This window comes from Homo sapiens, chromosome 14, assembly GCF_000001405.40.
Source record: "Homo sapiens chromosome 14, GRCh38.p14 Primary Assembly".
Lineage (NCBI taxonomy): Eukaryota > Metazoa > Chordata > Mammalia > Primates > Hominidae > Homo > Homo sapiens.
The window spans coordinates 49891317-49914460 of NC_000014.9; the positions used below are offsets into that span (position 1 = coordinate 49891317).

Below are 23144 nucleotides of genomic sequence, written 5' to 3' on the forward strand. Positions count from 1 at the left end.
AGGTGGGAGGATCTCTTGAGCCTAGGAGGCTGAAGCTGCAGTGAGCTGACATCGCACCACTGCACTGCAGCCTTGGTGACAGAGCGAGACCTTGTCCCAAAAATAGAGAGGTGGGGTTGGGGATGACACTTGAACCCCAATCTTCAGACTCCTAAGCTTTTCAGTTTTATGACAGTGCTTCATCTTAAGGTAAATGGAAAGTAAATGAAATAATTGTTAGAATATTAATGTTTAATAAGTTTATTTCCGACTGAAATGACGTTTATAAGGTTATCATATAACCTATCTACCATTATCTAATATTTTAAATTTGTTTAATAAAAACAGTATGTTACCATATGCTGTTTATAGCATCTTGCTTTTTAAACAAAGATACCCATTTCCTGTTTTTCTCCCCTTGATATTTGAAGGTTTCACGTTATTTTAAGTCTAATTTTATCATTAACCATTTGATACAAAAATGTGTCCTTGGCAGGGCGCAGTGGCTCACGCCTGTAATCCCAGCATTTTGGGGGGCCGAGGCGGGTGGATCACCTGAGGTCAGGACTTCGAGACCAGCCTGGCCAACATGGTGAAACCCCGTCTCTACTAAAAATACAAAAATTAGCCGGGCGTGGTGGTGGGCGACCTAATTCCAGCTGCTCCGGAGGCTAAGGCAGAACTGCTTGAACCCAGGATGAGGAGGCTGCAGTGAGCCGAGATTGTGCAACTGGACTCCAGCCTGGGCGACAGAGTGAGACCCCGTCTCAAGAAACAAACAAAAACCAAAAAACCAAAAATGTGCCCTGAAGTCTTCCACATTGTATTATTTAAGCCTCACGTGAGTTAGCAAGGTCAGTTTACACGAGATAAACTTAGTAAGGTTAAGTGCCCAGATCCAGGCCATACAAGCGGTCGTTCTATATTCTAAATTCTATGCTTCTTAAAGTTAAGAATGGGTAGTAGTTAAGAAGCTACTACTAACAGTATGAGATAAAATGATATTTTAAAGATGAACAGATGTCGCATTCTAAAAAGGTGAAAACGCGGCAAGGCACAGGAACTCTTCATAATACTGCAGTTTTTAAGAAACATGGGCTGGTCTTGACGAGACCTATAGGCAGACAGGGCTCAAACATTCAAAAGAGCTGCAGAGTAAACTCAACTCCGGGAAAGCGCTGCACTGACTGGCAGATTCCACACGAGACACTGGCCTCCCACGTGTCTTTCAGGAAACATACAAAATTCAAGGGATAAAGGAAGCCAAGAAGGGGTTGCGAAAAAGGGAAAAAAAAAAAAAACAAAAGCGAACAGAGCTTCCCTGGGACGTTCAGGGAGCGCGGAGGGTGCGGGAAGGCTGGGGCGGGCGGAGGGAATTCGCAGAGCATCTGGCGGGCACCGAGGTCTGGGAACAGGCCTGGAGGCAGCTCGGTTCGTGGAGAGAGCGGGCTGCCCGTGGGCCCCACCCTGTAGGGCCCCCCAGTAGATCTGCTCCCTTGGTTCGGGTGGGCAGGGGAGGGCAGAGCGCAAAAGAGAAAAGCAGGGAAGGAGACGCTAGAAGAGCCACGGGTAGGCGCGAGTCAGAGTCCGAGGTTCGAGGGCTCTGGGCCGGCCGCATCTGCGAGCCCTCCGAGGCGCCGTAGCCCCGCCCCTCCGGCGCGTGGCGCCCATGACGCTAGGCGCGCGGGCCGCTCTCCTTACAGAGGTCGCTCTTGTCCGAACGGTCGGCCTCTGCTGCGCCTGCGTGGTCGGGAGGGGAAGTGAGGCGGTTTCCTCGGCGCCTTTTCCGGCAGCGGCGGCGGCAGAACTGGGAGGAGGAGTTGGAGGCCGGAGGGAGCCCGCGCTCGGGGCGGCGGCTGGAGGTAACCCCTTGGGCCGAGCTGGAAAGGCGGGCCACCTCGGTCTTCGCTCCTTTGTGGAGCTCTGGCAGTAACTCCCCTCCCTCTCTGTTTCTCTGCAGGCAGCGCACCGAGTTCCCGCGAGGATCCATGACCTGACGGGGCCCCGGAGCCGCGCTGCCTCTCGGGTGTCCTGGGTCGGTGGGGAGCCCAGTGCTCGCAGGCCGGCGGGCGGGCCGGAGGGCTGCAGTCTCCCTCGCGGTGAGAGGAAGGCGGAGGAGCGGGAACCGCGGCGGCGCTCGCGCGGCGCCTGCGGGGGGAAGGGCAGTTCCGGGCCGGGCCGCGCCTCAGCAGGGCGGCGGCTCCCAGCGCAGTCTCAGGGCCCGGGTGGCGGCGGCGACTGGAGAAATCAAGTTGTGCGGTCGGTGATGCCCGAGTGAGCGGGGGGCCTGGGCCTCTGCCCTTAGGAGGCAACTCCCACGCAGGCCGCAAAGGCGCTCTCGCGGCCGAGAGGCTTCGTTTCGGTTTCGCGGCGGCGGCGGCGTTGTTGGCTGAGGGGACCCGGGACACCTGAATGCCCCCGGCCCCGGCTCCTCCGACGCGATGGGGAAGGTGCTATCCAAAATCTTCGGGAACAAGGAAATGCGGATCCTCATGTTGGGCCTGGACGCGGCCGGCAAGACAACAATCCTGTACAAGTTGAAGCTGGGCCAGTCGGTGACCACCATTCCCACTGTGGGTTTCAACGTGGAGACGGTGACTTACAAAAATGTCAAGTTCAACGTATGGGATGTGGGCGGCCAGGACAAGATCCGGCCGCTCTGGCGGCATTACTACACTGGGACCCAAGGTCTCATCTTCGTAGTGGACTGCGCCGACCGCGACCGCATCGATGAGGCTCGCCAGGAGCTGCACCGCATTATCAATGACCGGGAGATGAGGGACGCCATAATCCTCATCTTCGCCAACAAGCAGGACCTGCCCGATGCCATGAAACCCCACGAGATCCAGGAGAAACTGGGCCTGACCCGGATTCGGGACAGGAACTGGTATGTGCAGCCCTCCTGTGCCACCTCAGGGGACGGACTCTATGAGGGGCTCACATGGTTAACCTCTAACTACAAATCTTAATGAGCATTCTCCACCCATCCCCTGGAAGGAGAGAAATCAAAAACCCATTCATAGGATTATCGCCACCATCACCTCTTTCAATTGCCACTTTCTCTTCTTTTGAATTTGAACTCTGGAGTTACTGTTCTACAGTTTGGCGGGGACGGGGCTTGGGGGTTTTCTCTTTTGTTTGTTTCCCTTTCTTTTTCCTTTTTTTTTTTTTTTTTTTTTTGTTGGCTTTGCGTTAGGATGCTCTGATCTGACATTTGACATGAACACAAAGTTGCTAGATGCTCTTGTTGACTTCCAGCAGATGGGATGGGGGAAACACAGCAGTTCTTGGTAAAGTCCTTTGTAATAATAGTTTGATTTTTTTATTTCGAGAGAATCTTTCATTTTCCTATGTATGCTTTTTTCCTTTTTTGCCCAGTTTCCTTATCACTTGCTGTAGATGGCTTATTTTGCATTCATGCAGACTATGTTGCAAGTCTGTTTCATCTAGTAAACTGAAAATTATTGCTTAATCAAACTGCCGTTTGTCTTTTATATTTAAGGCCTTCCCCCCCCTTCCTTATGAGTTCTAACTTAGTAATTTCAAATGTGACCTTTTATATCTAAGACCAGTATAGTAAACTTAGCCCACAGTGGCAAATAATGAGTAATATTGTAATATGTTCCAGTTGCACCTCAGTATGTTAAACAGGTAATGTAAGAAGTTCTCTGAAATGTCAGCAAGTAAGTTCTGAAACACATCATGCATGAGTAGGAATAAAACCCAAGTTCCCCATAACGTAGATAACTTAATGCTGCATAAAAATATGAAAGTGTAACCCATGAAGGACACTTTTTCTTTCCACTGCAAAGTTAGCCACTTTGCTGTTTTTCCTCTTTTTTAAACTTTGAAAATAGACTCTTTCCAGAAATTGGAGCAATAATGGTGTTACCACACACAGATTAAATAATTTGTAGATATTTTAAGTGACTTTTGGGCAAAACTGGAATGTATACTTTTACCTTGTTTCAAACACCTAAGACCAGTAATTTAAAAATTACTAAAAGGTTTACTTTGTTCATTAATAAAACATTTAACAATTCAAATTATATGCACCTTTTACCTAGTTGAAAAAAATACACATTCCTGTTTTCACATTATAGCAACTGATTAAGCTGAAGCTGTAAGTCATTTTTTATAGATGAGTGATCCGCATCTCCATCAATTAGAACACTGGAAAAGATGTTTTATAAAAGAGGTATTTAATTTTGTTTGTAGGATTAACTCATGCAAATAATAAAAAAGATATCCTGTTGGTTCAATAGTACACTGTCTCCTTTAAGGAAGGAAGCGTGATGAATGAATGATGTGTAGACTTGAGGGATGACTATTAAAGGGGACGTAGGATGAAGAGAAAGAACCTACAGATGACAATGAATGTAAACTTATTTTTCTTCATGTGTAAGCAGTGTGCTCGCTGGTGATATCCAGATCCTAACAAGATTACTTGGTTAGCTGGTTAGGACCAGTAACTGGATTGCGACCACTATGATAATATTTTGAACCAAATGTTAATGCTTGATGCAGAATTGTAAAGCAGCATCTGGTTCCTATATAGCCTTAAGGATTAATTTTAGTGATCCTCAAGGAATTAAATAGGGAATTTCAGAAATGTAGACTGCAAAGGCAGTATACAGGAAAAGGTGGAGTGGGTTTTGTTTATGAGGGTGTCTGAAAACTAAAATTGAGCGGGATATCATGGTATAGTTGGACAGTATTGGTCCTTCACACTTTGGCCATATTGTATAATGGAGCTTTTACCAAAGATGTATGAGAAGTGTAAGACTATAAAAAAATGAACTATTCAAAGTAAAACTCTTAACAAACATTTTACTTAAAGCAGATGCAAAAGGGTATTCTCATGTAGGCTCCTGTTGGTGCAGAGGGATTTTTTTGATTTCAGGATACAACTAAAGTACGAAGTTCTCAGTTTCACTTTAGTAGAAAGAGCTCTAGAAATGAGGCTGATAAACACATCTAAGAACACTGGTTGCTTTCTAAAATTTCCAAAGCTCCACCATAAATGTAATTTTTAGTGTTTCAAATGATTGCATTTTAAAGTATATAAATATGGGTTATCCAATATCAATGCTATAGTAACATCCTGAAACAAAACAAGCACAAAGGTATAAATGCCTAAACTGGAGGAAACTTGAAACCCTCATGTTAAATCTTAAATGTAGTATTTCTAACTTGTGAAGACAGATTGGTAGGCAGCCATTTTTTTGTGTCTTAAAATAACTGGGGGCATAGTTAAAATTTTATACATCAAGTGATTGCTATTATTGAATGTTGCAGGTGAGATGTGGTTATTTTTAGTTTATTTGAAATGTTTGACTGGAAAGGGGGGAGGGGGAAGCAAATATTTGAAATTTGGAAAACCCTAAACCTTTTGGTAAGAAATTGTAATTTTCACTTAAAATTTTCTTTAAGGATATAAGAGGTTTATAATTGATGTAGTTAAATTGAACAATAACCATTGGTGACTGGAGCAGGTAATTATAGCCTGCAGAAAAAATTATCTAAGAATTTTAAAAATAAGATCCTGAAGTTGTTTAATTGCATCCATTTCTGTATTTATGTGAATTTATAAACTGCAGTAAGTTTTGAATGAGGTTAATCTTGTTTAATATAAGTAAATGAGTCTGTAGACTGTGATCTCCCCAAACTAAAAAGTACAGTACTTGGAATTGTGTTCTTTATGGTTGTAGTGTTGGTAAAGCACTAATATGCAGAAAATAAAGGAATTACACAGTGCAGTTTCTCACGTTATGTTACTCGCTTGAACTAGATAAGTGGGACGTGTGGTGTGTCGGGCCATGTTATTCTCCAGGGTATATGGTAAAAAGTGACTTAATTTGGAAGTTGCCTGACTTTTGTAAGAAAAAAAAATCAATTTGGTTCTTGTAAATGCTGGCTGTTTGAGGTAATGCGCCCTGTTTTAGTTCCACCAACTTAATCTGATTGTATGATAATTTAGAATACCACAGTTAAACAATTTTTAAAATTTGAGGTCCCATAGCAGTCTTTATTCTGCTGTTTTTTCCAAATTACAACCTTAGCATTTTTAGAAGTAGAGAATTGTGTCTAAAGAATTGGCCTTAAGTCTTAAATTCAGGCCTTAATTCTTTATAGACTTTTGGATTTCAAAGTTTCTTTTAGAGGTCAAATTGTTTGTCCTATCGAAATGGCAAAACTGTATTCATTTAGAAAGTAAAATAGTATCATAGAGGATAAGGTTGGAAGAAAGAAAAGTAAAAGATGAATAACTTGTTGGATAAAAGGGTTTGAAAGACATTCTTGTAAGCCTTTCCTCCTATATCAGCAATTTTTATAGTGTGATTTTAGAATGTCTTCATGTGATCTCTAGTATGATTTAACCCCATGTTAATATTTATTAATATATTTAGTACTGTGGTTAAGATACTGTGACAAAGTATCAATTTTTCAGTGCTAGCAGTAGAAAATATTTTCCCCATGAATGGGTTTTTATGTTTTAATATAAGCTTAGAAGTAGCCATAATCTGAATGGTGATGGAGCTTACAAAATTCCAAAAGTTATTTTCTCAATACCTTGCCCAATATGTATCAGGATTACAAGTAAGGTAAGTTGTATCTTTCCTTATAGGTAAAAACTGTATTTGTAAAACCACATACAGCAATTATAAGAAATTTTTAAGTGATTAGTCACTGAACATAATATATTTGGAGTATAATATTCAATATTATCTAGCCTTTTGCTTTAATTAAATGGTAAGGATTAGTAAAGGTTACAGTATTAGAGAGTTTACAAAAATGGAATGTTGGGAGATGGAGCCATAGAAGAGGCAAAGCAACTTGTTGCTTTGCCAAACAAAAGTTGCCAGACTAGACTAGTGAGCTGAACAGGCAAGGAACACAGAGGTGAGATCAAGGAAGGCAGAACAAGAATGGAGCGGGATTTAGGAATTAAAGCAAATCTGCAATTAAATATAACTGAAGTAATGGTAAATTTCAAGAGAACTAGACTGTAAGAACTAACCTCACATTGTGGGAAAATAAAAATTTTAACCTTTTCCCCCTTTATTTGAAATGTTCTATGACTACTTGAAAGAATTTAAAAATGAAAGTATTTGTCAGTTTTGTCCTTGAATATCTTTCATTTGTTATAGAATACATATTTTGTCCATAGTATTTTGTTTTATAAGTGTGAGGGTAGATTTTTTTATTGAGAGCCTACTAATATGCCTGGCACTGTTGAGGTGCAGGAGATCGACAGTGAAAAAAAAAACAAAAAATCTGTATTCATGGAACTTACCTGGAGGGTTGGGGGCAGAGAACAAAGATCAGATGATAAGTAAAAGTCTGTTAGGTTATATGCTATATATTGTACAATATGTTATGTATGTACACATATTAGGGAATAGGTAGGTGTGTTCGGAGAAGACCTCATTGAGGTGATGTTTGAGCAGATACTTGAGGAAATGTTAATATTGGTATAATTGACATAGTCACAGAAAGATAATAGTACAGTGTAAAGCAGAGGTGGGAAAACTGGCCAAGGGCAAATCTGGCTGCAGCCTGTTTTTTATAGGGACTGTGCTAGAATGGGTGTTACATTTTTAAAGGATTTGTAAAGTTTTTAAGAAAAAACCACGAATATGTGACAGACAATATATGGCCTGAAAAGCCTAAAATGTTTACTATCTGGCTCTTAGGAAAAACATTTAACCTCGAGTGTAAAGCCAATTTTTAAAACATTATCAAAATTTATAGGAAATGGAACAATTGAAAGTGAAAGGCCATTGTTAAATGAATCTAATCAAAATTTTAGGACACAGAGGCTGGGCGCGGTGGCTCACGCCTGTAATCCCAGCACTTTTGGAGGCCAAGGCGGGCGGATCACGAGGTCAGGACATTGAGACCATCCTGGCTAACACTGAAACCCCATCTCTACTAAAAATACAAAAAATTAGCCGGGCGAGGTGGTGTGTGCCTGTAGTCCCAGCTACTCGGGAGGCTGAGGCAGAATGGTGTGAACCTGGGAGGTGGAGCTTGCAGTGAGCCGAGAGCGGGCCACTGCCACTCCAGCCTGGGTGACAGAGCGAGACTCCGTCCCAAAAAAAAAAAAAAAAAAAAAATTAGCGCACAGTGACATAGAATTTCCACATTTTATACATTTAGTGAGCTAAGACTTGTTATTGAGTAGTCTAACCTGGATTTTGTTTTTCTAAATGAGTTTAAATGCGTGAAATCAGTAGTTTCTCAGTTTTGATTTTAACACAGTTGTTTAAAACTGTGTGAGTCACTTCATTTTAAATATTTCTTTTATTTTTGTGGTAGTTTTACTGGTCTTTGGATTTAAGTTAAATGTGATTCTCTGTTACGTGTCCTTTCTTCCAGATAACCTAGATTAGTTTGGTGTAGGTTCAGATAACATCGTTTAACTGTGGCTTTTTTATCCACTCTTTCTGTAATTAAGTCATAAGTCTATTATTTTTATGGAGAAAGTTTGTAAGGGGAAGTGTTTTATTGACGTGGAAACTTATGGTGCATGATATTTGGTTTCCAGTATTATTCCTCTAACCAATATAAACTAGAAAAATTTGCTTCACACATGGATTATTTCTTGCCTAGAGGGTTATATATTAATACTAAATCATACTAAATAATTTCTACAAGTAGGATGAGAAATCTATATTTTAAACTATTTAAACTATTACAAAGTTGTGAAACCTATAACTATTTTAGACTACTACAAAGTAATCTAGCGGAAGTTATGGAAGTAAATTTTATTGAGGACATTTAGAAATGAGCTTTAAAGAAATGAAAACATTTGTAGTTCATAGAAAGACCTATGTGAAACTAGTTATTTATGATTATAAAAGTTGTTTTCCATTACAACTGAATAGCCTGAGAAGGTTATAGCATATGAGAGGGAAAAAAAAACATTGTTGTGGTAGAGCAGAAATTTGGATCTTTGAAGTTGGTTATAATAAGGCAAACCAAAGTGCTTTCTCTGCATGTCTTTATTTTTTATTTTATTTATTTATTTATTTATTTTTGAGGTGGAGTCTCGCTCTTGTAGCCCAGGCTGGAGTGCAGTGGCTCCATCTCAGCTCAGTTCAAGTGATTGTCCCGCTTCAGCCTCCCGTGTAGCTGGGATTACAGGCATGCGCCACCACGCCCAGCTAATTTTGTATTTTTAGTAGCGATGGGGTTTCACCGTGTTGGCTGTTCTCGAACTCCTGAGCTCAGGCAATCCACCCGCCTCGGCCTCCCAAAGTGCTGGGGTTATAGGTGTGAGCCACCGTGCCTGCCCATGTGTTTATTTATTTATTTATTTGAGAAGGAGTCTCGCTCAGTCACCCAGGCTGGAGTGCAGTGGCGCGATCTCGGCTCACTGCAACCTCCGCCTCCCAGGTTCAAGAGATTCTCCTGCCTCAGCCTCCCAAGCAGCTGGGACCACAGGTGCACCACAACACCTGGTTAGTTTTTTTTTTTTGGTTTTGTTTTTTTTTTTTTGTATTTTTAATGGAGATGGAATTTCACCATGTTGGCCAGGCTAGCCTCGAACTCCTGACCTCAGGTGATCCACCCACTTTGGCCTCCCAAAGTCCTGGGATTACAGGTGTGAGCCACCGCGCCCGGCCCACGTGTTTATTTTTAAAAGTTAGTTTTATGAATAAGTCCTAGGTTGGAGTTAGGCCTAAGGAAATCAAACTCAGAAATATTCTAAGAATAGTAAGAGTTAGCATTTACTGAATGTTTGCCATGTGTCAGGCATTGTTCTAAGCATTGAATGGGTATTAATTCTCTAAATCCTCACAGCCACCTTGGGAGATAGGGCTCTCATTTTATAGTTGAAAAAACTGAGGCATACAGAGGTATATGTTAATAAGTAGCAGAGCCTGAATTTGGATTCAGGTAGTCTCTGCTGTACTATGAATGTGACTAAGGTGAACCAGTGCTTACTCATGTTCTTAGTATCTTTTTGGTGTATGTTTTCTTATAAATACCTGGCTTTAAGTAAATTTCCTATAATTTTCTTATTTTATCATCAATAAGATTTATTTATTTATTGAGACGGAGTCTTGCTTTGTCGCCCAGGCTGGAGTGCAGTGGCGCGATCTCGGCTAACTGCAAGCTCCGCCTCCCGGGTTCAGGCCATTCTCCTGCCTCAGCCTCCCGAGTAGCTGGGACTATAGGCGCCCGCCACCGCGCCCGGCTAATTTTTTTGTATTTTCAGTAGAGACGGGGTTTCACCGTGTTAGCCAGTATGGTCTCGATCTCCTGAACTCATGATCCGCCCGCCTCGGCCTCCCAAAGTGCTGGGATTACAGGCGTGAGCCACCGCGCCCGGCCATCAATAAGTTTTGAGTCCCTGTATAATTTCACTCTTGTGTACAGTGGAAAACACAGTATTAGGCACTTAGGGAACTTTTTTTTTCTGTAAAAATCAAATTTGACTGCTTGATAGTGAATTTGACAGATCATTGTGAAAAATAGGAAAAATTAAAATTTTCACTCAGCTGATTATTTGTATACTTATATATAGATTTCTTTTAAGAAAAGTTTTATATGGAATGCTTCATGAATTTGTGTCATCCTTGCACAGGGGCCATGTAATCTCTGTATTGTTCCAATTTTAGTATATGTGCTGCTGAAGTGAGCATCCCAGTTAAATTTCAATTAGATAAACTATTTTTTTAGTACAACTGCATCCCAAGCAATATACTAAAATTATATATTAAATTATATATACTATATATATAAATTATATACTAAAACTTAAATTGAAATTTAACTGGCCATCCTATATTTTACCTACAATCCTATATCTGACTTTGAGTGGTACGAAAGGAGGTAAGATTCAAAACGTCTAAGTTTAAAAAGATATTTAGGAACCCTCAAGAACTCTACCAAGTAGTTTGGATATTGTTTTGTGTGTAATGGGAGCCACTGAATTTTTACATACGTAAATATATATATATACACACATATCTTTCTGTGCATATAGATAGATAGATAGCAGGAGAGAGTCACAGTGTTTAGGAGTATTTAGTAGCTTTGTATAGAATCATGTATCAAGATTATGGATAGAGGTTGGAAGAAAGAAGTCCTTTCAGGAGACTTTGTTGATAATTCAGTTGAGAAAATGAGGGCCAAGTACAGTGTAGAGAAATGAGAAAGAAGTGAGAAAATGAAATAAATTGGTGAAATATGTTACTTGTGGAGGAAGAAAGCGTTAACAATTGTGATCTGAATTCTTTTTTTTTTTGAGACAGAGTCTCGCTCTGTCACCCAGGCTGGAGTGCAATGGCATGATCTCAGCTCACTGCAACCTCTGCCTCCTAGGTTCAAGTGATTCTCCTGCCTCAACCTCCCATGTAGCTGGGACTACGGGCGCCCACCACCATGCCCCGCTAATTTTTGTGTTTTTAGTAGAGATGGGGTTTCACCATGTTGACCAGGCTGGCCTTGAACTCCTGACCTCAGATGACGCGGTCGCCTCAGCCTCCCAAAGTGCCGAGATTACAGGTGTGAGCCACTGTGCCCCGCCTTGATCTGTTTTTTTTTTTGAGATGGAGTTTCACTCTTGTCGCCCAGGCTGGTGTGCAACGGCGCGATCTTGACTCACTGCAACCTCCGCCTCCCAGGTTCAAGCGATTCTCCTGCCTCAGACTCCGGAGTAGCTGTAATTACAGGCGCCTGCCACCACGCCCGGCTATTTTTTTTTTTTTTTTTCTGTTGTATTTTTAGTAGAGACAGGGTTTCACTATGTTGGCCAGGCTGGTCTTGGACTCCTGACCTCGTGATCTGCCCGCTTCGGACTGCCAAAGTGCTGCGATTACAGGTGTCAGCCACTGTGTCCGGCCCGGCGTTGATCTTAATTCTTACATAAAAGATAATGATAACACCATTGGTAGAAATCAGGATATATAGCATACTTCAATGGAGAGACATTGATAATTGGGTAAAGTACTTTGTTTGCAGTGCTGAAAAAGAGTTTGAATCTGTTAGGGATTCTCTCTTTTGTAACTATTCTTAGAGTAGTGCTGCCCGATAGAAACATAATGCAAGCCAAATATGTAATTTAAAATTCTTAGTGCTCACATTTAAAAAATAGAAGTGAATTCAATTTTAATAATGTTTTATTTAACCCAATATATCAAATATTTCAATATGTCAGCAGTATGAAAAAGAATTTTTTTTTTTCTGAGACAGAGTCTCGCTTTGTCGCCCAGGCTGGAGTGCAGTGGCACGATCTCGGCTCACTGCAAGCTCCGCCTCCCGGGTTCACGCCATTCTCCTCCCTCAGCTTCCCGAGTAGCTGGGACTACAGGTCCCTGCCACCACGCCCGGCTAATTTTTTTTTGTATTTTTAGTAGAGACGGGGTTTCACCATGTTAGCCAGGATGGTCTCAATCTCCTGACCTCATTATCTGCCACCTTAGCCTCCCAAAGTGCTGGGATTACAGGCGTGAGCCACCGGGCCCCCCCACTTTTTTTTTTTTTTTGAGACGGAGTCTTGCAACCTCTGCCTCCCGGGTTCAAGTGATTCTCCTGCCTCAGCGTGCCGAACAGCTGGGACTACAGGCACCTGCCACCATGCCCAGCTAATTTTTTTTTTTTTTTTGTATTTTTTAGTAGAGACAGGGTTTTCACCATATTGGCCAGGCTGGTCTCAAACTCCTGACCTCGTGATCCACCTGCCTCAGCCTCCCAAAGTGTGAAATAATTATTAATGATATATTTTACATACTTTTTTTTTTTTTGGAGACTGGGGTCTTGCTATGTTGCCAAGGCTGGCCTCAAGAGATCCTTTCTGCCCTTAGCCTCCCTAGTAACTGGGACTACAGGTGTGTGCCACCATGCTCAGCTCTACATTCTTTATTTCATACCAAATCTTCACAATTCAAATGTGTATTTTACATTTAAAGCACATCTCAATTCAGACTAGCCACATTTCAGTTCTCCATAGCCACATGTGGCTAGTGGCAATCATATTGGACAGCTCATTCTTAGAGGGTGATTTTTTTTCTTTTTTTTCCCATACTGTATCTGCAACTTAAGTAACTATAGTAGGGGATACCAGTTGAGATGATTTAGATGTGATGAATTTTTCTAGGCCAGAGGTTGGCAAACCATGACCTGTAAACAAAATTGGTCCCACTGTTCTGTTTTTGTAAATAAAGTTTTATCAGAACACAGCCACAAGCATTCATTTGTGTATTGTCTATGGCTGCTTTTGCACAACAGCAGAGTTTGTGACAGAGGCCCTATGGCCCACAAAGCCTAGAACATTTATTATTTGGCCCTTTACAGAAAGAATTTGGACCCTAAAGTCAAGTCTCTGGGATAAAACATATACCTTATACTTTTTCTCTTTTTCTTTTTTCTTTTTTTTGAGATAGAGTCTCGCTCTGTTGCTCAGGCTGGAGTGCAGTGGCGTGATCTCGGCTCACTGCAACCTCTGCCTCCTGGGTTCAAGCAATTCTTCTGCCTCAGCCTCCCGATTAGCCGGGATTACAGGTGCATGCCACCACGCCCGGCTGATTTTTGTATTTTTAGTAGAGACAGGATTTCACCATGTTGGCCAGGCTGGTTTCGAACTCCTGACCTCAAGTGATCTGCCAGCCTCGCCCTCCCAAAGTGCTGGGACTACAGGCGTGAGCCACTGCACCCAGCCTACATATTTTATACATTTAAATTAGGTTCCCCAAAGAAATAATATTTGAAATGATTAAAATATTGTATATATATTGATTCATTTATTCACCATTTACTGAAACCCTACTAAGTTCCATGTGCCATACTAGGCTCTATTAGCAAGATAAATCGGATTAATGACAGACCTGTTGCATCACAGCCACCATGTCCTACTGGATTCAATGCTTAAAACACACACACACACGCACACACACAGCAGTTTGTTAGGAGCCTCTCTTCCTCAAGGCTATTGCTTTGAAGTCAACAAGACTTAGGCTTGAGTATACTTACTAGCTGCGGTATCATGGACAAATAACACATGTTTGTGCATCAAGTTTCTTATGTGTGAAATGGAAGATGATACCACCTATTGTGCTGATCTGTTGTGAGAATTACATCTAAAGCCCATAGCATGCTGACAGGCACACAATATTTATTCAATAATAAGTACTGTTATTTAACTCTATACTCCGTTTTCTCATCCTGTAGATATTTTTTCCTCTAACTCCTAAATTACCGTGGAAGAAAATATCCTACAATTCAGAACTGGTGCTGATAAAGTATTAAACCTAAGTTTGCAAATATTAAGGGAAGTTTCATAGTAAATGTAACTATTTTAGTTAAATAGGGATTAAGCTAATCAGCATGATGCCTCCATATTAGAAATTCTGTTAAATTTCACTCCGTGGCTATTTGAATGATAAATACAAATAAATTTTGAGTCTAGTCTCAGCTATATCACTAACTGTTACGATTTTACTGGACAAATATCTAGTTACAGCCACCATAAGCTCACTTTCTACATTTTTGAGACGGGAGACACCATCATTTACATTTGTAATTATAATGTGACTACAATTACTTGGACATTGTCATTCCAAGGGGAGACTCTTAACTATGGGGGAAAAAAAAAGCTAACAGCATTAAGATTACTTCCTTTTTTTTTTCTTTTTTTTTGAGACAGAGTCTCACTCTATTACCCAGGCTGAAGTGCAGTGGTGCCATCTCAGCTCACTGTAACCTCCACCTCCCGGGTTCAAGATATTCTCCTGCCTCAGCCTCCTGAGTAGCTGCGACTACAGGCGTGAGCCAACACGCCAGGCTAATTTTTGTATTTTTAGTACAGATGGGGTTTCACCATGCTGGCCAGTATGGTCTCTATCTCTTGACCTCGTGATCCACCCCCTTGGCCTCCCGAAGTGCTGGGATTACAGGCTAAGCCACTGTGCCCGACCAAGATTACTTCCTTTTCAAATGCATTGTTTCTGCAAGTTTTCCTTACCTCTAGAAAACTGAGTAGCATGTGTTCCTCATTTCATACTCCACCCCCAACCATCAATAACTACAATACCCACCTGAACAATGTTTTGAAAATTAAATGACTCTCTTAAAGTGTTTTTATAAACTTTAACACACATCTCCCTCTGGTATCACACCCTTAACATCTATCATCTTGTCTTTGTCACCAGCTCTCTGGAACACTCCTATTAGCAGCTTCTCTACTGCCTCCGGTCTCTACTGCAAACTAGTTTCTGGCCATTTCACCCAATCTTTCTAACTAAGGAAGGTCCCAATGACTTTTTTTTTTTTTGAGATGGAGTCTCACTCACTCTGCCGCCCAGGCTGGAGTGCAGTGGTGCTATCTTGGCTCACTGCAACCTCTGCCTGCTGGGTTCAAGCGATTCTCCTGCCTCAGCCTCCCGAGTAGCTGGGACTATAGGCATGCACCACAACACCAGCTAATTTTTGTATTTTTAGTGGAATTTTTAGCAGGGTTTCACCATGTTGGCCAGGCTCGTCTCGAACTCCTGACCTCAGGCTATCCGCCCGCCTCTGCATCCTAAAGTGCTGGGATTACAAGTGCCAGGCCAGGTCCCAATGACTTTCTAACGTCAATTCTAAAGAATTCTTTTTGAACTTCAATCTTCTCTCTATAGGATATGTTCTCTCCTCTAATTTGTTCCCTGTCAGGTGCTTGTGCGTGCTCCTGAAGACAAAGCAACATTTTGGAGGGGCGGGGTCTTATTTGAAGTATATGAGGAAGGCGCTTCCTTGCAATGAGTGAGGGAGTTGGCAACTTTTAATAACCCCCAATCATTCTTCTTTATTTACTCAATAGCACCTGAGGGCCTGGTTGAAGAGAAAGGTTTTGAGGTAGGGGATGAGGCACAAGGGGCAAGAAAGCAGAGAGCAAACTCTTGCTGTCTCCCATCCCGTGTTGTTAGGTAGGGGTACATCATATTATTATAGTTAGAGCTATACCTATCTATGTGTTCTTGATGAAGGCATTGTTTGCAAGTTGCTCTTTTTCAACAGCAACATTAGTACCAGGTGATTACTGAACCCTTCACAGTTTGTCTTGCCCTTACTTGGAGAGAGCTAGATGTATCCTGTTTCTGCTGTGCATTTGGCCAACAGTCATGGGCGTGTGAATACGTGCCTTTGGTGTGTTTGTGTTCAATTCTCTTCATTTCTTTTTGTGTCTTGGACTTTGCATTAGGTAAACTCACGAACTTATTCATAAAGAACTCAACTTTTATGGTGTATAAATATTTAAAGAATACGTGAAAAAACAAGATGAAGGACAGGCTTATTTTCAGAGGTTTGTGCATGGTAGCAGAAAACATACATTTTAATGAAGTCATCTTTGTGCCAGTGAGCATTTGACTATTAACTTTTAAGAAGTGGAAAAAAATTCCTGAATTTTTTCGATAACTTTTAGAAAAGTCTTGTAGCATGTTCTGAGTTTGATCCACTGTTCACTGAATTATATGATAGGACTTCAATTTTAAAAGTGTATAAAAGCTTGTAGAAAGATTTGGTTTATTAAAAAGATTATGATGTGAAAAGCTAGCTCTAAAGTATTAAAGCTTTATTTTTCCCCCATTCTGAATTAAAATAGGAAGGGAGAGAGGAAGACGAGTCAGTGTTAAGGCCACGAGGTTGAATCATCTAAGGAAATGAGTCAGTGACTATAAACCATAACTTTCCTTTTTCTGGGGCTTTGACTTGGAGAACTTAATGTTGAATTATTTGAAAAATCTTGCTTGATATCAGTGAATTTAAAATAAGTTTCTTTTTTGTTTTGAGAAACCTTGTAATATTACTTGGATTCATTTATTTTTTATTTTTATTTTTTGTGAGACGGAGTCTCGCTCTGTCTCCAGACTGGAATGCAGTGGTGTGATCTCAGCTCACTGCAACCTCCACCTTCTGGGTTCAAGTAATTCTCCTGCCTCAGCCTTCCGAGTAGCTGGGACTACAGGCGTGTGCCGCCACACCCAGCTAATTTTTGTATTTTTAGTAGAGACAGGGTTTCACCATGTTGGCCAGGATGGTCTCTATCTCTTGACCTCGTGATCCACCCGCCTGGGCCTCCCAACGTGCTGGGATTACAGGCGTGAGCCACCACACCCGGCTGGATTCATGTATTATTTCAACAAATATTCAGTAGAAAAAAGTAGCGGGTATATTCTTCAAACCAAAAGACATGCAGTGATTTGAAAATATGGGTAATGTATCAGTATCTCTGTGTATATATTTAGCTCTAGGTAACCAATAGTGATTCTTAATCTGCTTTTAAAACAAGTTTTTTGAGGTTAATAACTGATGACTCATTATTGGATTTAGGATAAACCTAGAATGCTGGTAGCTATTGACACATCATATTTCTATTTGATATGCTGGAGTTTTTTTCCTAGTCATGAATTATTTCTTAGGAACCCTGAGCCCATAATTGAAATAAATGCATTGTATTTTGGCTTATTTTTGAAACTTTAAAAATCTCAAATGGTGTCAGGCGTGGTGGCTCACACCTGTAATCCCAGCACTTTGGGAGGCCAAGGCGGGTGGATCATGAGGTTAGGAGATCGAGACCATCCTGGCTAACACGGTGAAACCCTGTCTCTACTGAAAATACAAAAAAAAATTAGCCGGGCGTGGTGGCGGGCGCCTGTAGTCCCAGCTACTCAGGAGGCTGAGGCAGGAGAATGGTGTGAACCCTGGAGGCGGAGCTTTCAGTGAGCCGAGATCGCGCCACTGTGCTCCAGCCTGGGCAACAGAGTGAGACTCCGTCTCAAAAAAAAAAAAAAATCTCAAATGTAACTAATGATCAAGTCTGTAGGTAAACATAGATAGGTCTCTCAAGGTAAACGCTGGCATATTATATAAAAAATTCTTGACCTTTTATGATTGATTGCTTGTCTTTATGACTTGGACTCTTTTTATAAGATTGGATTGCATTTTTAATTCTCTCCAACTCATGAGTAATACTTGATTTATGACAGTAAATGCATTTTACACAAGAACCTAATATTTAGAAACTTACTGAAGTATCTTAAATCCTGTTTTTGTCATCAAGACAAACTTGAATTAAAGACTAAAACATTACATTTTTATTTTTTATTTTTTTTGCTTAGTATAATAATATGGTAGTGGTATCTTAGGGGAAATGTTTTAAATAAATACTAATATATCTTTTTCTTTTATTATTTCTTGGGTATCTTGTTGAATACAGTATGGATTTTAGACTAGCATGACAACATTTCTAAATTGCCTTCTGGTCAAGAGTGGTGGTTCACACCTGTAATCCCAGTACTTTGGGAAGCCAAGATGGAAGGATTGCTTGAGGCCAAGAGTTTGAGACCCACCTGGGCAATATAGTGAGACCATGTCTGTTTTTTTTTTCTTTTTTTCAATAGAGATGAGGTTTTGCCATGTTGGCCAGGCTCGTCTCGAACTCCTGAGGCTCAAGTGAACCACCCACCTCGGCCTCCCAAAGCGCTGGGATTACAGGTGTGAGCCACCACACCCAGCTAGACCACATCTCTTTTTAAACAATCAATCAATCAATCAATCAATCAATCAATATGGTTGGCAGGGCTATTGTTTCCATATGCTTAGACATCCTAGACATGTTAATTTTTCTCCTTTCAAACCTATGGTAATTTCTAGGTTCTTTTTCTTGCTGCATGTCCCAATCTAATAAAACCTAAAGTGTTACCCACTGATACACCTCAGGGTCCATGCTGCTTTGCTGAGCATCAAAATAGTGATTTAGGAAATTGTGATTTCTGGATTCTGGATTACAGTGTTAGAAATACCCAAGAAATTAGGATCTGGAAACATCCTATGTATGATGCTATGAAGGCCATTCATTGAATGGAAAAAGGATTGAAGATGGAAGAGAACCTCCTTTCCTCATATAAGCCATATATGATACTTATCTTTTTTTTTTGAGATGGAGTTTCACTCTATCATCCAGGCTGGAGGGCAGTCGCGGGATCTTTGTGGCTCTCTGCAACCTCCGCCTCCTGGGTTCAAGGGATTCTCCTGCCTTAGCCTCCTGAGTACCTTGGATTACAGGTGTGTGCCACCACACTTAGCTGATTTTTGTATTTTTAGTAGAGATGGGGTTTTGCCATGTTTGCCAGGCTGGTCTTGAACTCCTGACCTCAGGTGATCCACCTGCCTCAGCCTTCCAAAGCGCTGGGATTACAGGCATGAGACATTGTGTCCAGCCCTTCCTACCTTTTTTTTTTTTTTTTTTTTTGCAAGCATTTTTAGTTTCCTTTCTGACAGGATTGATTTGGGTAAAGAACATTGAATTTTGAGTCAATAGTCTCAAATAGATAGACCTATGTTTGAATTCCAACCCTGACCTCAATAGCTAAGTGACACTGGAAAATCTATCTCTTTGTCTCAGTTTTCCTGCTAAAAATCGGGATGGTAATGTTCACCCAGCAAGGCTTTATCACAAAAAGTGGTAACTTATGAGAAAGTCCCTATCTGGCATGGTAAGCACTCAAGAGAAATTAGTTCTATTTTCCTTCTTCCCTCTAGTTTAATAATTTAAAAAATTAAATCATGCAGCCATAAAAAAGAATGAAATTATGTCCTTTGCAGCAACAAGGATGCAGTTGGAGGCCATTATCCTAAGCGAATTAACACAGAAACAGAAAACCTAATGCCGCACATTCTTACTTATAAGTGGGAGCTAAACACTGGGTACACACAGACACAAAGATGGGAACAGTAGGCATTGGGGATTCAAAAAGGCAGAAGAGAGGAAGGGGGGCCAGGTTTGAAGAACTACTTGTGTTCACTACTTGGATGATGGGATCATTAGAGGCCTAAACCTCAGCATCATGCAATATACCCATGTAACAAACCTGTGCCCGTACCCTCTGAATCTTGGATAAAAAAATAAAAGCAGGCCAGGAGCGGTGGCTCATCCCTATAATCCCAGCACTTTGGGAGGCTGAGGCGGGCGGATCACTTGAGGTCAGGAGTTCGAGCCCAGCCTGGCCAACATGATGATACCCCATCTCTACTAAAAATACAAAAATTAGCTGGGCACAGTGGTGGGCGCCTGTAGTCCCAGCTACTCGGGAGGCTGAGGCAGGAGAATCACCTGAACCCAGGAGGCCGATGTTGCAGTGAGCCAAGATTGCGCTGCTACACTCCAGCCTGGGTGACAGAGTGAGACTCCATCTCAAAAAAAAAAAAAAAAAAAAAAATATATATATATATATATATATATACACACACACACACACACACACACACACATACACATACACACACATACATATATTCAGTGAAAAAGATATTCTCAAGGTGATAAGAAACCAACTATTTGTTGTATTTTACCTTTTAATAGGTAACAATTGAGAACAGGCATTATTGATTCAAGAATGGTGTTAGTTTTTTTCCTTTAACTACACAAAATGTGTAGTCATCAATTCTTTGACTAAGAGGAAGGAGTGTCAAGAGGGAAGCCTGAAAAAATCTTGAAGTTTAAATGCTTTTGTCTAACTATCTGAGTCACTCCTCAGGGTGGAGTTTCTATGGCATGGCTCCCTGCCAGCATAATTTTGAGCTTTTAAGAGAGAGTAGTTGGGCCAACAAACACAGTAACCAAAATGACTACTCTGACACTGGAACCAGCTTTACATACAAATATTTTCTCTATTATCTCAGAAATAATCATGGAAATATACAAGCATTTCCTCTTCTGAACCATATTAATTTTCTAAGAATGAATGTATATTCAGCTACAAACATAATTGAAACAATTCCAGAGAACAAACAAGTGTGGGCCACTTACTCCTGGGGATGTGGCTGTTCTGCACAGCTTTGAGATGTAGGAGAAAAAAAGTATGACTTCCTTCTGTTTAATGATTGTTTAAGTGTGCTTTGATTACTGCAGAAAGCCTAAACCTACTTTTTAAAATTCCATGCAAATCTTGTTGAAGTGAATTCCAGTGACTAATATATTTGAGAAACTTTCTTGGAAAAAAGAATTACCAATGATATATTTAAACAACTGGTATTCATAATATAGAAATATAATTAGACTAATGTGTTCAGTATTTCAATGAAGCTTGATGTTCTTGATCATTAAAGACTTACTTTTCGGCCGGGCGTGGTGGCTCGCGCCTGTAATCCCAGCACTTTGGGAGGCCAAGGCGGGCGGATCACGAGGTCGGGAGATGGAGATCATCTTGCCTAAGAGGGTGAAACCCCGTCTCTACTAAAAATACAAAAAATTAGCTGGGCGTGGTGGCGGGCGCCTGTAGTCCCAGCTACTCGGGAGGCTGAGGCAGGAGAATGGCGTGAACCTGGGAGGCGGAGCTCGCAGTGAGCCGAGATAGCGCTACGGAGCGAGATTCTGTCTCCAAAAAAAAAAAAAAAAAAAAAAAAAAAAAAAAAAAAAAAAAAAAAAAAAAAACAAGACAAAAAAAGACTTATTTTTCTTTGTGAGGCCGAGGCAAGCAGATTGCTTGAGCCCAAGAATTCAAGACCAGCTTGGGCAACATAGTGAAACCGCATTTCTACAAAAAAATACAAATTTGCCGGGTATGGTGGTGCACACCTGTACTCCCAGCTACTCGGGAGGCTGAGACAGGAGGATCTCCCAAGCCGAGGTCAAGCCAAGAAAGTGCCACTGCACTCCGGCCTGGGCAACAGGGTGAGACCATATCTCAAAAAAAAAATAGGCCAGGTGCAGTGACTCACACCTGCAATGCCAGCATTTTGGGAGGCTGAGGCAGGCAGATCACTTGAGGTCAGGAGTTTGAGACCAGCCTGGCCAACATGGGGAAACCCCGTCTCTACTAAAAATATAAAAATTAGCCGGGCATGGTGGCGGAGCTGTAATCCCAGCTACTTGGGAGCCTGAGGCACGAGAATCGCTTGAACCTGGGAGGCGGATGTTGCAGTGAGCCGAGATCGCACCACTGCACTCCAGTCTGGGCGACAGAGCAAGACTGTCTCAAAAAAAAAATAATAATAATAAATAATAAATAAAAATAAAAAATAGGCTGGGCGCAGTGCCTCACTCCTGTAATCCCAGCACTTTGGGAGGCCGAGGCGGGCAGATAACCTGAGGTCAGGAATTCAAGACCAGCCTGGCCAACATGGCAAATCCCCGTCTCTAGCTAAAAATGCAAAAATTAGCCCAGTGCGGTGGTGTGCGCCTGTAATCCCAGCTACTCGGAAGGCTGAGGCAGGCTAATTGCTTGAGCCAGGGAGGCGGAGGTTGCAGTGAGCTGAGAGCCTGGGCGACACAGCAACACTCTGTCTCAAATAAATAAATAAGACTTAATTTTATTTATTTATTTTTGAGACTGAGTTTCACTCTCGTTGCCCAGGCTGGAGTGCAACGGCGCAATCTCGGCTCACTGCAACCTCCACCTTCTGGGTTCAAGTGATTCTCCTGCCTCAGCCTCCTTAGTAGCTGGGATTACAGGCCCACGCCACCACGCCCGGCTAATTTTTTGTATTTTTTAATAGAGACTGTAGAGACGGGGTTTCACCATGTTAGCCAGGATGGTCTCGATCTCCTGACTTCGTGATCCACCTGCCTCGGCCTCCTAAAGTGCTGGGATTACAGGTGTGAGCTGAACCACTGTGCCCAGCCTATTTATTTATTTTTAAAATTTATTTTAATTTTTTACATCTGGGAAGTTGTGAAAAACTTTTTTTTTTTTTTTTTTCTGAGATAGAGTCTCACTCTGCCACCAGGCTGAAGTGTAGTGGCACCATCTCGGCTCACTGCAACCTCCGCTTCCCGGGTTTAAGCGATTCTCCTGCCTCAACCTCCCTAGCAGCTGGGACTACAGGCCTGCACCACCATGCCCAGCTAATTTTTTTTTTGTATTTTTAGTAGAGACAGGGTTTCACCATTTTGGCCAGGATGGTCTCGATCTCTAGACTTCATGATCCGCCCGCCTGGTGATCCGCCCGCGTCAGCCTCCCAAATACTTTTTTTTTTTTTTTTTTTTTGAGAGGGAGTTTTGCTCTTGTTGCCTAGGCTGGAGTGCAATGGGGCGATCTCGGCTCACTGCAACCTCCACCTCCCAGGTTCAAGTGATTCTCCTGCCTCAGTCTCCTGAGTATCTGGGATTACAGGCATGAGCCACCATGTCCAGCTGATTTTGTATTTTTAGTAGAGAAGGGGTTTCACCATG

At 41.7% G+C, this 23144-nt stretch overlaps 1 protein-coding gene and 1 pseudogene across 1 annotated transcript, besides 7 other annotated features; one reads left to right on the forward strand and one right to left on the reverse strand.

The window, feature by feature from the left end:
• Positions 1326 to 1425: an enhancer, noted in NCBI's record as "active region_8324". NCBI's record gives its function as "activates an Ori minimal core promoter by ATAC-STARR-seq in GM12878 lymphoblastoid cells {active_cell/tissue: GM12878}" and the evidence as "EXISTENCE:reporter gene assay evidence [ECO:0000049][PMID:35858748]".
• Positions 1516 to 1905: a silencer, noted in NCBI's record as "silent region_5711". NCBI's record gives its function as "represses an Ori minimal core promoter by ATAC-STARR-seq in GM12878 lymphoblastoid cells {active_cell/tissue: GM12878}" and the evidence as "EXISTENCE:reporter gene assay evidence [ECO:0000049][PMID:35858748]".
• ARF6 (ARF GTPase 6) lies at positions 1766 to 5738 on the forward strand. The gene is made up of 2 exons (NM_001663.4): positions 1766 to 1841; positions 1940 to 5738. Exon 2 carries the CDS (start codon positions 2421 to 2423, stop codon positions 2946 to 2948), a length of 528 nt encoding a protein of 175 aa, NP_001654.1. The 5' UTR covers positions 1766 to 1841; positions 1940 to 2420; the 3' UTR covers positions 2949 to 5738.
• Positions 1946 to 2135: a silencer, noted in NCBI's record as "silent region_5712". NCBI's record gives its function as "represses an Ori minimal core promoter by ATAC-STARR-seq in GM12878 lymphoblastoid cells {active_cell/tissue: GM12878}" and the evidence as "EXISTENCE:reporter gene assay evidence [ECO:0000049][PMID:35858748]".
• Positions 2296 to 2615: an enhancer, noted in NCBI's record as "active region_8325". NCBI's record gives its function as "activates an Ori minimal core promoter by ATAC-STARR-seq in GM12878 lymphoblastoid cells {active_cell/tissue: GM12878}" and the evidence as "EXISTENCE:reporter gene assay evidence [ECO:0000049][PMID:35858748]".
• Positions 2646 to 2695: an enhancer, noted in NCBI's record as "active region_8326". NCBI's record gives its function as "activates an Ori minimal core promoter by ATAC-STARR-seq in GM12878 lymphoblastoid cells {active_cell/tissue: GM12878}" and the evidence as "EXISTENCE:reporter gene assay evidence [ECO:0000049][PMID:35858748]".
• Positions 4838 to 4987: an enhancer, noted in NCBI's record as "active region_8327". NCBI's record gives its function as "activates an Ori minimal core promoter by ATAC-STARR-seq in GM12878 lymphoblastoid cells {active_cell/tissue: GM12878}" and the evidence as "EXISTENCE:reporter gene assay evidence [ECO:0000049][PMID:35858748]".
• RNU6-189P (RNA, U6 small nuclear 189, pseudogene) lies at positions 10534 to 10634 on the reverse strand (annotated as a pseudogene).
• Positions 11524 to 11643: an enhancer, noted in NCBI's record as "active region_8328". NCBI's record gives its function as "activates an Ori minimal core promoter by ATAC-STARR-seq in GM12878 lymphoblastoid cells {active_cell/tissue: GM12878}" and the evidence as "EXISTENCE:reporter gene assay evidence [ECO:0000049][PMID:35858748]".

Excerpts from the sequence above, each read along its gene's own strand:
- ARF6 (NM_001663.4), top strand. The coding sequence starts at position 2,421 with ATGGGGAAGGTGCTATCCAAAATCTTCGGGAACAAGGAAATGCGGATC.